At 41.3% G+C, this 13,184-nt stretch overlaps 1 protein-coding gene across 2 annotated transcripts; it reads right to left on the bottom strand.

Moving 5' to 3' along the window:
• Positions 1 to 462: 462 nt before the first annotated feature.
• SPRR3 (small proline rich protein 3) lies at positions 463 to 2,570 on the bottom strand. Of its 2 annotated transcripts, NM_005416.3 has the most exons (3): positions 2,526 to 2,570; positions 1,633 to 1,716; positions 463 to 1,317 (listed from the first exon to the last, which is right to left on the bottom strand). In NM_005416.3, the coding sequence occupies exon 3, from the start codon at positions 1,296 to 1,298 to the stop codon at positions 789 to 791; it is 510 nt and encodes a 169-aa protein (NP_005407.1). In that variant the 5' UTR covers positions 1,299 to 1,317; positions 1,633 to 1,716; positions 2,526 to 2,570; the 3' UTR covers positions 463 to 788. The 2 variants fall into 2 exon arrangements, with proteins under 2 accessions (NP_005407.1, NP_001091058.1); NM_001097589.2 differs by lacking the exon at positions 1,633 to 1,716.
• Positions 2,571 to 13,184: the final 10,614 nt, after the last annotated feature.

Below are 13,184 nucleotides of genomic sequence, written 5' to 3'. Positions count from 1 at the left end.
GAATGTTTCTCTTTGTGAATGACTCTGTGTGTGTGTGTGCGTGTGTGTGTGTGTGTATGTGTGTGGTGGGGTATCTAGAAGGTAAAACAAATGAAGAAAAATAGACTGTCCAGTCAAAATATGTAGGAGTAAAGTTTTCTTGGAACAAACAGGAGATTTGTTGTCAGGATACTGAGGATCAGAGGTGTCTTGGAACAGGTGGCTTGGAGTCAGGCATGACTCAGTCCAGTGCAAGAGGAGAGCCTGTGGCTGCCCAAAGTGACAACTTCTATTCAACATCACACCAGGCCCATTGCCATTCCAGGAACACCTCAACTGTAACCCCATACACCCATAGAAACAAACAGTACTGGGGTTAAATAGATGACTTCTACATCAACTCCTCTCTGTCTATAGGTCCTGACTCACAATGGGGAAACAAGGAAGGAGGAAGATTCTGCCAATGACACACACAGCCAAGACTGGAATTAAAAGCAATTTAATGAGGGAAGAGCAGGAAACATGCATTTCTTTTCATTCGAATCTTCAGATGAACCCTGAGCAGCCGAAGACCAGAAAAGCCATGAAGACTTTCTGCTTAATTCAGGGGCTTACAGGATTCTTCAGAGTGTGTGTGAACAAAAGCTTTATAGTACGTATTTTTAGGATACAAATAAGAGAGAGACTATGGCTTGGGGTGACAATGTGCTGATTACAAGGTCTACAGACAATTAAGACACAGAAACAGATGGGAAGAGGGTGTCCAGCATCTGGTGGTTGGCTTCTCAAGGGCTTGTCTGTGCACCAAATTACTTCTGCTTGGTCTTCTGCTGAGCTGGGCCTGGAGTGACCGTTGAAGGACATGGCTCTGGTAGCTTTGTGTAGCCTGGCACAGGAACTTTGGTGTATCCTTGCTCAGGAACTTTGATGGCACCTGGCTCAGGAAACTTGATGAAGCCTTGGTCAGGGACCTTGATGCTGCCTGGTTCAGGGACCTTGGTGTAGCCTGGCTCAGGGACCTTGGTACAACCTGGCTCAGGGACCTTGGTACAGCCTGGCTCAGGGACCTTGGTACAACCTGGCTCAGGGACCTTGGTACAGCCTGGCTCAGGGACCTTGGTACAGCCTGGCTCAGGGACCTTGGTACAGCCTGGCTCTGGAATCTTTGTGTTTCCAGGTTGTGGAACCTTTGAGTGGCATGGCTCCTTGGTTGTGGGAACAAATATTTCCTGAGGTGGAGGCTGGCTGGGTTGTTTCACCTGCTGCTGTTGAAGCTGAGGTGGTGGGGTAAAGGTCTGCTTCTGCTGGTAAGAACTCATGCTTCAAAGGATGCTGGACCTAGAGACAAAACAGCTAATTCAGTGCTTTGATTAAGTAGGAATGAAGCCCAGTTTAATGACAAATATCTGTCATTTCATTCTCCTTCAGAACTGAGAGCCTCTCTTTTCTTTCTTTTTCCCTGAATTTGAGATCATGGGATGCTTTGGTGATCCCCACTTATCTTCCAGAGAATAAGGTAAAGTTGATTTCTTCCACATCGTGTAAATGGAGCCTTTCTTTATGCTTCTTTTCTTCCTGGTACATCTAAAAACCTACGTACAACATGAAAACACATACAAATATGCAAATATATACTCTGAAGCTTTCGCTTACACACTCTTTGAAGAATCCTCTAAGCTCCTGAATTAAGCAGAAAGTCTTAGTGGCTTTTCTGGTCTTCAGCTGCTCAGGGATCATCTGAGGAATTGAGTGAAAAGAAATGCATGTTTCTTGCTCTTCCCTGATTAAATCACTTTTAATACCACTCTTGGCTGTGTGTCATTGGCTGAAGATTGATGTGACACCTCAGTTTTTCCATAAGTTGGAAAGATTTTAAGGTCAGCAGTCTAGAATCTACTCACTCATGTCCTCCTTATAGAGTGCGATAGTTCTCCCAGGAGAACTCTTATCTAAACTTCCCCCTAAGGCTCCCACAATCCACCTGGGAGCCTCTGTTCACACTGTGCCTGCTGCACATGCTCTCTGGCAGGCTCTCCACATCATCGCTGCCTCCCCACACATGCCCACCTCTCATGGCTGTCCTTCCTGATGCTCTCACCTTCCTCGTTTTGCCACAGCATGATACTTGCTTTCCCTCTCTGCTAATCACTCCCCATGCTGTATGTTTGCAAATTTTAGTCAAGTATATGTTTTCTAATGGATTATACATTCATGCAATAAAGAAAAACTTATCTTTTGATCATCAAAATTGCCAATGTAGTGCCTTCTATATTAAAAATTTTCAATACATGTTGACAGGAGAGTGCTCTTGAAGTGGGTATATTGTCTTGCTAACTTAGCAAGCCTTTACAGAAATCACTCCCCTTTTCTGATCCTAAGTTCCACACCTGTAATCTGAGTGGAAAGTCAAAATATGTATAAGGTCACCTTAAACAAAAGTCGTTATTGCATTTAAAATAAATATATTCATTGCATAGCAAAGAGATCTCAATCAAAATAAAGAAACTATTGGAGAATATTAAGGTGTTCCTAATGCGGAGACTCACCTGCTGTGCAGAGAAGGTCGAGGTGTTCAGCCTCTGGGATCTGGTGAAGAGTCTCTTGTTAGCTGGTATTTATATAGAAAATGAGCCCTGCCTTAAGAAAATTGGATTTTTTAAAAGACTGCTCTAACTTCATTCCAGCTTTTGTGATAAGTATCTCTGGCTTAACATTTTTTGTCACTTAAGCTCTGACAGTGATGTCACCTGGGCCTGACTCACTGTCCACCCTTTGTGGTGTGGTTGCTGTGGGCAAAGGTCTTCTTGAATGGCAATGGATTAAATTAGGAGGAAGTACCATGCTCCTAGGACTAGAACGAGCCAGGCCTCTTGGCCTGGGCCCTAATCTTTAGCCAGATTAGTCCTATTGGGCTTCCTCATGGTTGAAGTGGACATGGAAATAACAATAGGCATTTCTGGTTCTGCGAGGCCATGGGGATGGTGCAGAATAAGTGAATCATCTGATTTTCAGTCTCTTACTGGATTTGGACCTGGGAGGAGCAATGGAAGGCAAAATGCCTGCTTTGGAAATAAGTTGCTTTCACTGTGAAGGGCGCCTTAAGGTGCCGTGTTGATCAGGGATAGTAGATGTCATTGAGATGGACAGGCAGGATTGACTGGATCTGTGTGACATTGTGGCTCAGCCCTGAAGACCCTGCCTCTTGTGGTATCTTTCTTCTCCAGGAGTGACATAGGAAGAGGAGCGTGCTGATTCCCTAGGTTCATACACCAGCCATTTCCTCTGATCACTACAGGATGAACCTCAAGTCACTAACTCAGAGTTGCCCTCAATACACACTCTCTTACTAGACGCGGCCCTTGGAAAATCCAGACATCCTTACATCTCAGGCATGTGAATAGCTCCTCCTTTCCCAATGTTCCACGACTGTGTTACTCCCTTGAACCTGATGCCCAGCTCCTTCCACCAGGTTCTGAAAGCCCCTTGTTCTACTTCAGCGTCACACAGTGCCTGGTTATCATGGGTGTTAAGTCAATGGACAGTCATTGTTCTCCTGAATAGAGCTGTAGGTTCATGGAAGGGAGAAAGGAAGTGAGAAAGAAACAGAGATAGATAAAGAAGAAAGGAAAGAAAGAAAGAAAGAGAGAGAGAGAGAAGGAAAGAAAGAAAGAAAGGAAGGAAGAAAGGAAGGGGAGGGGAAGGAAAGGAAAAGAAAAGAAAAGAGAAAAGAAAAGAGGAAAGATAGGGAGGGAGGGAGGAAGGCAGGAAGCCACAAGGCAGTTTCTTGGGCATGATTCACTGTCCTGTGCCAGGCCTCCTGGTGTGAGCTGAGAAGAGGTGTGAGCTGATAATTCATGAAGGAGAAGAGGCTTACCCTCCCTTCCACACCCATGTCCTTCCCTCTCTGCTAGCATTTGTTTGACCGGCCACTTCCCTCTGGGATGGGCCAGGGCCACTGCCATGCCTAAACTCTGGGCTCTGTCATCACATTAGCTCTTTTTCAGTGTTGGGTCCAGGTTTCTCTCCTCAGCAAATCCACCTCTCAGGAGCCACAGACCCTGGGGGCTTCGGCTAGACCCTGCTGCTCCACCTGGGATTTTCCTCCCCAGAGGAAGGAAGCTCCTCTATGAATCCTGGTCTCCCTCATTTTCTTCCTCGATTCTGCACCTTGGTTCTAGAGGAAATTCCTTTCTGATTTCCTGTGTCCCTTCCCTGGGCGGGCTCTCTCCTGCCCTTCTCTAACTCTTGCCTCATTCACCCCAACAAAAGCTTCTCTGCCATCAGCTTATTGAAATTCTCGTTTTACCCCAACCCTGTTATTCCTGTTTAGTCAAACACACTCAGCGCCTGAACGTTAAGCCTCTTTCAGAGAAGCTTTGTTTTCTCATGAGCAGTGTTGGGTGTGCTGGTAAGTCTGGCCTCAGTTTTAGAGAGGATACATTGAGTGGCTTCTGAAGGCGAGTCCCACTTCCCCAGGTACCTTAGTCTTTCCCACTGGCTCCCTTCTCTGGTGGCAGGAGGCTGTGAGTCATCCAACTGCACTGTCCTGGGACTTTCTTGGGACTTGTGTGTGGATGGTACTGGGTGCCTCTTAGGCACTCTCCAAATCTTCTGGATCTTGCTCTTGTTTTCTACCATGGCTATGTGGACCACTCACACACATTGCCTAGAGTTCTGCCTCTTCTTTCCTCACCTGAGGGCCTCTGATGCCCCAGCGTGAGCTGTCTGTAGGAATCTGTAATGCACTTGTGGATATGCAAGCTTGAAGTTCAGTGTTAGCATCTAGTGGCCACACTCCACCAATGGAGGACATGAACTGGTAGATAATGCTTTCCTCTTTCATTTCTAGGGGAAACCCTTCTGTGACATAGTTCTCTGTCAGCTGAGATCCTGGGGATCAAGTTCCAGTCACCCTTCCTGGTTGCCTACTTAGTAACATATTCTTTGTATATATTGATTTTTCCTTTTGCCTAGCTTCACCCCTGTTTATTTCACATTCCTCTTTTCTATGATTACATTCTCAAAGAAACTAGCTTCACATAAGATATTGTCTTAGGCTCAGTTTTGGGGGAACACAAGCTAGGGTATATAATGAAATACATGCTCCATTTAAGATACAGAAAGAGAAAAACATTGCCCAGTGATGGAAATCAGTGCCTAGGCCAAGGTCAGAGGAATCATCTGGTGGGTTAATATAAGAAATTTGGAACTGATGTAAGGCCTGTCTTTGGAGACTGTGGAACTGAGCCGTCCAATAAAGTAGGCACTAGTCATATGTAAATATTTAAGTGTAAATGTATTAATAGATATTTGGAATCTGGATTGTGGAAGAACAGTGTGGCCACTCTGAGCAACTGGAACTCTGGTGTAGATCCTGTTATCAGACATTTATGTATATTCCTCTGAACAGGATTTTCTGATCCTGATTTATTTTTGTGGAGTTTAAAACCCTGGAACCGGCCTGGTAAAAGTAGTGCAAGTTAACATCATGATTTAAAGGAGATAAGTGCACTGGCAACTTTAGGTCTGGGTTATGTGCAGATGCCCCAGGCATGAGGCTGGCTCAGGGAGCTAGGCCTTGGTTCTCTGTCTCTGAAGCATGCTCTGCGGTCTAATATCACTATCTCTGTTACCATCAGAATCTTCCTACTGTTCTTAGTGAAAACGGCTCCCACCACCCAGCAGGATTCTGATCACCAGCGCATGGCTGCCCCGCAATGATGGATGCACAGCTGTCACAAGGTGATGTGTCCACCAGGATTCCATGTTTCAGATGTCAGTGGAAATTGAACAACATCTGATAACAAAGTGGATTATACAAATAACTTTTTTTTTTGAGGCAGAGTCTCACTGGAGTACAGTGGCATGATCTTTGCTCACTGCAGCCTCTGCCTCCTGGGTTCTAGTGATTCTCATGCCTCAGCCTCTCGAGTAGCTGGGATTACATGTGTCTGCCACCATGTCCAGCTAATTTTTGTATTTTTAGTAGAGATGGGGTTTTGCCATGTTTGCCAGGCTGGTCTTGAACTCCTGACCTCAACTGATCTACCTGCCTCAGGCTCCCAAACTGCTGGGATTACAGGTGTGAGCCACTGCGCCCGGCCTGTACCAATAACTTGAATGCTTCCTGCACTGCTTGCTCCGTAGGACTTGTAAATCAGATGTAGATAAAATAACGCCCTGCATTGTTTACTAGTACAGTTTCATGTTACTGTCTTGGTTCTTGCTAAAGTGCCAGATATTTGACTCCTTTCCCACGTTTTTATGGAGCCATCTGTGCTATATGAGCGAAGTAAAAAGACAGACGGTCTTATTGTTATCTTGTTATCAGTCTTGACATCACAGCCTCCTTGATAGGATCTCAAGCATCCCTGAAAGCCTGCAGACCACACTTTGAGAAACACTGATCTAGCATAACAGTATCAGTGTGTCTAGATTTGTAGAATGAAGCCAATTCCCATTGTTGGCCCAGCCACACTGGACCCTGAGGCAAGGTAACATACAAAATCTTGAGATGGGGAACACCTAGAAACTATACAATTACTGTCTCAATAAAGTATCCTGCCAGGCTGTATTACTCTAGAGAAGGATTAGTTGGAAGGAGGGCTAAAATGACTACTGAGGATTTGAGAAATAAGACCAAATTACAAAGAGAAAAAAGTTCATCTTATTATCTACTTGCATGCCCTGTCCTCACAGATATTAAGAACCGGTTATTTGTCTGTCATTTTTGAATGCAGAAATCTGATATTTACAAAAAAGCTCATATCCTCAAATAGGCATGGCAGCTTCAAAAAAATATTGAATCTGAGAACCATAGAGACCCTCACTGTGCAGATCACTTGCCCTGTTCAATCTTCCTGTTTGAATAAAAGTCATTAAAAAAATCTTCACCCTTTAGAAATTATTTGTTATCAAATGGGAAACACACATAAAGTTATTTTGCTGCATTTCAAAGTACAATGGCTGTCTCTAGAAAAAGCATTTGTGAGACTGAATTTTGATCTGAACTAGCTGTTTTTTATCAAACAAAATTTTACTTGAAAGAACAACTGCCAGGCAAACTGTGTTTACTCAGACTTGGGTATTTGGCAGACATTTCCTTGAAAACGAACTGAATGAGCCTTTCATTTCAAGGAAAACAACAGACAGTATTTGTGTCAGTAAGACCCTAAGGGAGCCCCAGTGGCCTCCTTCCTGGCATTTATGCCCTTATATAATCCTGTGTGTGACCTGCTGTTTTTTTGTTTGTTTGATTGTTTGTTTGTTTGTTTGTTTTTTCAGACAGGGTCTTGCTCTGTTACCCAGGCTGGAGTGCCGTGGCACAACCACAGCTCACTGCAGTCTCAAACTTCTGGGCTCAGATTGTTCTCTAGCCTCAGGCTCCCAAAGCACTAGGATTATAGGCATGAGCCGCTGAGGTTGGCCTCCTTCTAATCAACAGGCTGTAACAAACGTGACAGGGTATCACTCCATGATTATGTGATCTAGGCAAGACTGACAGCAGGCAGGCTGGAGGAAGGGACTCTCCTTGCAGGCTTGATGATATAAGGGCCCATAGAGGGGGGATGTTTGCTTCATTGTGGGCTGCCTCTAGGCACCACAGGTGCATTCTGAAACCTGAGGGAGGACTTTAGTCGGAAGCCTGCAAAAAGTTGGAGCCCCTGGTCATTGAGCTGCAAGAGAATGAATTCAGCCAACAGCTTGAATGAGCTTGGAAGTGGATTCTTTCCCAGTGAAGGCTCCAGATGAGAATGCAGCCAGGCTGACACCTTTATTGCAGCCTTGTTGTGAAACCTGAGCCCCTGACCATGGAAACTATGAAATATGTGTTAAGATGCTAAATTTGTGGTAATTCATTATACAACAGTAGAAAACTGGTACAGTATTTATTGCCAGTGAGGTAATGTGAACTTTTACACAAAAGTTATAATATTGAAAAACTCAATTAGTTCATTGCAATGTATCAATTAGTTCATTACCAGTTTCACAGCTTCCCAATATGGAATTAATTTTCTCATGAGATTGGTGGTGGATTAATGAATGCGATCTTTTCCTATTGTATAAAGAACTGTGTCAACATTTGTAAGATCTATATAACTCAGTGAACCAATATTTTCAAAATGACCAATTTGTGATGCTACCAAATTAGGTACAGATGTTAGGTAAGAGTGCAATATGAGCAATTAATTTAAAATGTAAAAATTTTATTTTGAAGTTTTATATCATTTCCACATGTAATACTTCCTCTAATACTTTGTAATCAATTTATTCAATTGTTTTCCATTTTTGCATATCTCATCAATATTTTGCTAGATTCTCATGTTAGTTTCTGCATTCAATCTGTTGCTATAAGTATTTACTTTTAATTTTGAAGTAATTGTAGATTCACAACAGCATAAAAGAAACGTACACCTTCACCCAGCCTACTCCAGTGTTAACATCTTGCATAAGTGTAGAACAACATCAAACCCAGAAAATTAATACTGGTACAATCCATTGAGCTAACTCAGATTTCACCAGTTATATATGCACTCATTTGTGTGTGTGTGTGTATGGCTCTGTGAAATTTTATCACATATGTAGCTTTGTGTAACCACCACCTTCATCAAGAGACAAGACCTTATCATCACCTCTAGACTCCCTCATTTACCCTTTTACAGCCACACTCTCCCTTCTCCCCCTGTATCTCGAACCACTAGTAACTAATAATGTTTGTCATTTCTACAATTATGTTATTTCATGAATATTACATACATGGAATCTTGCAGTTTGTATCTTTTTGAAATTGGTGTTTTTCTCCACTCAGTATAATTTTCTTAAGGTTTATTCAGGCAATCATTTCTATCAATAGTTTGTTCTTTTTTGTTGTTAAATAGTATTCCATGGTATGGATGTACCACAGTTTGTTTAACCATTTCTCCTTTGAAGAACATTTGGCAAGATTCCAGTTTCCAATTATTTCTTTCTTTTTCTTTTCTTTTTGGCAGGGTCTCACTCTGTCACCCAGGCTGGAGGTGCCATGGTGTGATCATAGCTTACTGCAGACCTTCTGGGCTCAAATGAGCTTCTTGTCACAGACTCCTGAGTAGCTGGGACCACATGTGTGTACCACTAAGCCCGGCTAATTTTTTTATTTTTCATAGAGATGAGATCTCATTATGTTGCCCAGGCTGGTCTCAAACTCCTGGGCTCAAATGATCCTCCCACCTACGCCTCCTAAAGTGCTGGATTTATAGGCATGAACCATTATGCCTGGCCTGGTTTTGGGTTATTTCTAATAAAGCTGCTTTAGACATTCATGTGCAATCTTGTATCTGGAAATAAATAAATTTTATTTCTTTGAGATATATGCCCAAGAGTATAATTAATGGGTCCCATACTAAGTCCACCATAATTTTAAAAGAAACTACAAAATTATTTTCCAGAGAGGTTGTACTATTTTACATCCCACAAGCAATGTCTGAAAGATTCAGTTTTTCATGTCCTCACCATAATGATGCATCGTTGTGGTTGTAATGTATGATTTTTAATGGCTGAGGATGTTGAATGTCTTTCTGTGTGTTTATATGCCATCTGTATGTCTTCCATGAAATGTCTGCTCATGACATTCGTACATTTTCTAATGGGATTTTTTATTGTTAAGTTTTGAGGGCATTTTATGTATTCTGTATATAAGTCCTTTGTTGAATAAGTGATCTGGAAATATTTTCTACCTGTCTATAATTTGTCTTTCTATTGTCTTAACAGGGTCTTTTACAAAGCAGAAATTATTTAATTTTGATGGATTCCAACTTATCATTTTTGTTTTCTTTTTGGAATTGTGCTTTTGGTGCCAAGTCTAAAAAGTCTTTACTTAGTCCTAAGTCTCAAAGATTTTTCCTGTTTGTAAAAAATATAGTTTCATGTTTTTAATTAAGCCCATTGTCCATTTTGAGTTAATTTTTGTGTAAGGAGTAATGTTTAGATTGAAGTTAAATATTTTACCTATGGCAGTACAATTGTTCTAACACCATTTATTTATTGAAAAAGTGGCCTCTCCTTCATTGTATTGCTTTAACCTTGTATTAAAAAAATAATTGGAACATTTGTGTGGATTTCAGAGTGTATGTTTTCTGCTCCATTGATCTGTGTGTCTGTCCTTTCCCTAGTGCTGTGCCACCTTGATTAATGGAGGTATAGAGTAATCCTTAATATTGGAAAGAATGAATCTATTCTATTCTTGCTTTTAATGTTTTGGCTATTCTAGGCCATTTTAATTTTTCATAAGAATTGTATTAAAGCTATAGATCAATTTTAAAAGCATTGACATCTTTACCATGTTGAATCATCTAACAGATAAGCACAGTGGTCTCTCCAATTAGGTGTTCTTCACTTTCTTTTACCCATTGAGTTTATATTCACCATATAACTCTTGTACGTATTTTAAAATGTATAGTGTTTAACTTTCTATAGAGAAATTTTAAATAAGCATTTTTTTCAGTTTTTACTTCATCGTATGCATGTAGAAATGCAATTTTTTTTGTGTGTTAATCTTGTATACTGTGACATGCTGAACTTACTTCTTATTTCTAAGATGTTAGACAATCTCTTGGCATTGTCTACATAGAAAATCACATTTTCTGTAGAGATTATTTTATTTTTTATTTTCTGACAAATGGATTTTAATGTAACAGAATATGAACAATTAGTTAATGTGGTTTGAGATTCCATGTTGCAACTAATCTTTAAGAAAGTATGTACTACTTGCTGAATTTGGCATGGTGTCAAAGAATATCCATAATTATGTAAAAAGTTATTAATCCATTTTGCAAACTACATCTTTATGAGACCAGATTTTCTTTGTATACTTCAGCCAAAATAACATAATGCAACAGATTGGATGCAGAGGAAGATATAAAAATCCAACTATCGTAACCTAAGGATGATGTCACCTCAAGCCATAACAGGCTTTGAAGAAAATGTGTTCATTTGGAACTCGCCCAAAGGAAAGCACCATTTCTGTGTGTTGTGTTTTGGTCCTGCAAGTTTTGAGGATTTTCTTGCGTTTTGGAGGGCTGCTAGGCAGACAGAACCGCCTTCCCACTGGCTGGCACTGTGGCGGTGGGTGGTGGGTACTGCTGGGTGAATACTGTGCGGCAGACAGTTTGGGGAGGTGGGCTTTTCAGAGTCGGGCACTCCATAGGTGGATGCTGAATGAACAAGTCCTGACACTGGCAAGGTGAGCTCCGTGGAGGTGTGTAAGGTACTGGGCACTTCGGGTCCATGTCTCTAAGCATTGGAGGGGACCTTGCAGGTAGAATTACAGGTGGCAGTGGAAAAGGCTGCGCTGCCCTTGCTTTTACTCAAACTCAGGTGAGTCTAAAGGAAATAGGTGAAGGCGTTAGTAGAAGTAAGATAAATCAATGCTCGTATAATGCTGGGAAATTCTCTAATCTAAGAGGATAGTCTCTAATCATCTAAATCTATAATTATGACAATAAATGGCTTCTGACTTCTTATTTGGCGTTTTTTTTTCACCATTTTCATTTTTTTCACCATTCTTATCCATCATTCAAAGGAAATTCTGCTTTCCTGAAACAATAAATGTTGGTTCAAATTCTGAATTGTGTTCAGAAGAATTATCATCATTACGTACCATGAAACTAAAGTGGTCTGGAAAATGATCCAGATGCTGCCATAGGAGAACTTTCTTATCTCATATTCTGACATTTTTTGTATATTTTCTTGAGAAAAAAGAAAGACATGGGCTGGGTGTGGTGGCTCACACCTATAATCCCAGCACTTCAGTGGCCAAGGCGGGTGAATCATTTGAGGCCGGGAGTTCGAGACCAGCCTGGGCAACATGGTGAAACTGCATCTTTACTAAAAATATAATTTTTTTTTTTAATTTTTGTATTTTGTGTGGTGGCACATGCTTGTAATCTCAGCTACATGGCAGGCTGAGGTGGGAGCCCTGGAGTTGGAGGTTGCAGTGAGCAGAGATTGTGCCACTGCACTCCAGTCTGAGTGACAGAGCAAAACTTGGTCTCAAAAAGCAAACAAACAAACAAACAAAAATAATAAAAATAAAATGTAAAAAGACATGAATACCAAGAGTTCTGACTTACTTGCTTCTCTAATGCGGATCTGGAATCTGATTTTAAGAGTGGTAGCTATGAAGAATATCCAGTTATACGGTCAGGCAGCCCCAGTTATAAAGAAGTGGAATAGCCTATACTAGGCTGGGTGGTGATTTCCCACCTGACAAAAAAACCCTCTGGAATTCCTAAAAGGATCAGGTGGTCATGTTGCTACACTGGGGCAAAGGCTCAGGATTGGAGGTCCCACTTCACCTGGCAGTTTGAATGATTGTAGCAACTGGACAATTAGAGAATTCTTTAATTTTAGGTCAATGAAGCTCTCTCTTTAATGTGTTGATTCATAAAATTTTCTGTATACCCACAGTGTCCCACTAATTGGAACACATGAGTGAAGAAAAATGACATTCCCTTTCCTCCTGGAGCTTACATGTTAGTGGCAATGATTGGAGGTTGAACGGCAATAAATAATACATAGAATTATAAAGCAAAAAATATATATTACTGCTATGGAAAATAAAGTAGTGTGAGTAATTGCAAGAATGAGAATGGGTGGACTGGGTTGTTATGACTTGAATGTACTGCCAAGTTAGGCCTCATTGAGAAGCTGACATTTTGGCAGAGAAAGAAAGAGGTGAGGGAGTTGAGACATATGGATGTCTGGAAAAATAAATATTTAGGTAAAGAGAATTTCTAATAAAACAACCTGAAGTCAGAAGCATGCCCAGCGTGTACAGAGGCCAGAGTGGAGAGGCAGGAATGAGTGAAGGAGTAAAAGGGATAGGGAAGAATTATGGGGTTTTTGTCTAGAGGCTGAGGGTTCTGCGGTATCTGCCTAGCACAGGGAATATTCAATGATATCTCTCCTATGGATTCTACTTTGAGCTCCGTAGTCTGCAGAAGCAATTAGCTCAAAGTAAAGTACACTACAGAATGTCTCTTCAAGTGCCCAAATGTTCCTACAATCTTCAGATATTTCTATTTTTGAGAGCTTCTGCCCTACAGAGGAAGAGTTACCACATAACGGTTAAAGTCGTGTATAAATGTCTTTCGAGAATAGGAATAGTATTTGTCCAGAATATTGTCCATTAGCAGGCATCAGTTCTTATGTAGACTATAGCAATT

This window comes from Homo sapiens, chromosome 1 (assembly GCF_000001405.40).
Source record: "Homo sapiens chromosome 1, GRCh38.p14 Primary Assembly".
Classification (NCBI taxonomy): Eukaryota; Metazoa; Chordata; class Mammalia; order Primates; family Hominidae; genus Homo; species Homo sapiens.
Note: the sequence above shows the minus strand (reverse complement) of the source record. Positions and strands in the feature narration are given on the sequence as shown.

Bases quoted from the DNA above. Each gene is read 5' to 3' on its own strand.
- SPRR3 (NM_005416.3), bottom strand. From the start codon at position 1,298: ATGAGTTCTTACCAGCAGAAGCAGACCTTTACCCCACCACCTCAGCTT.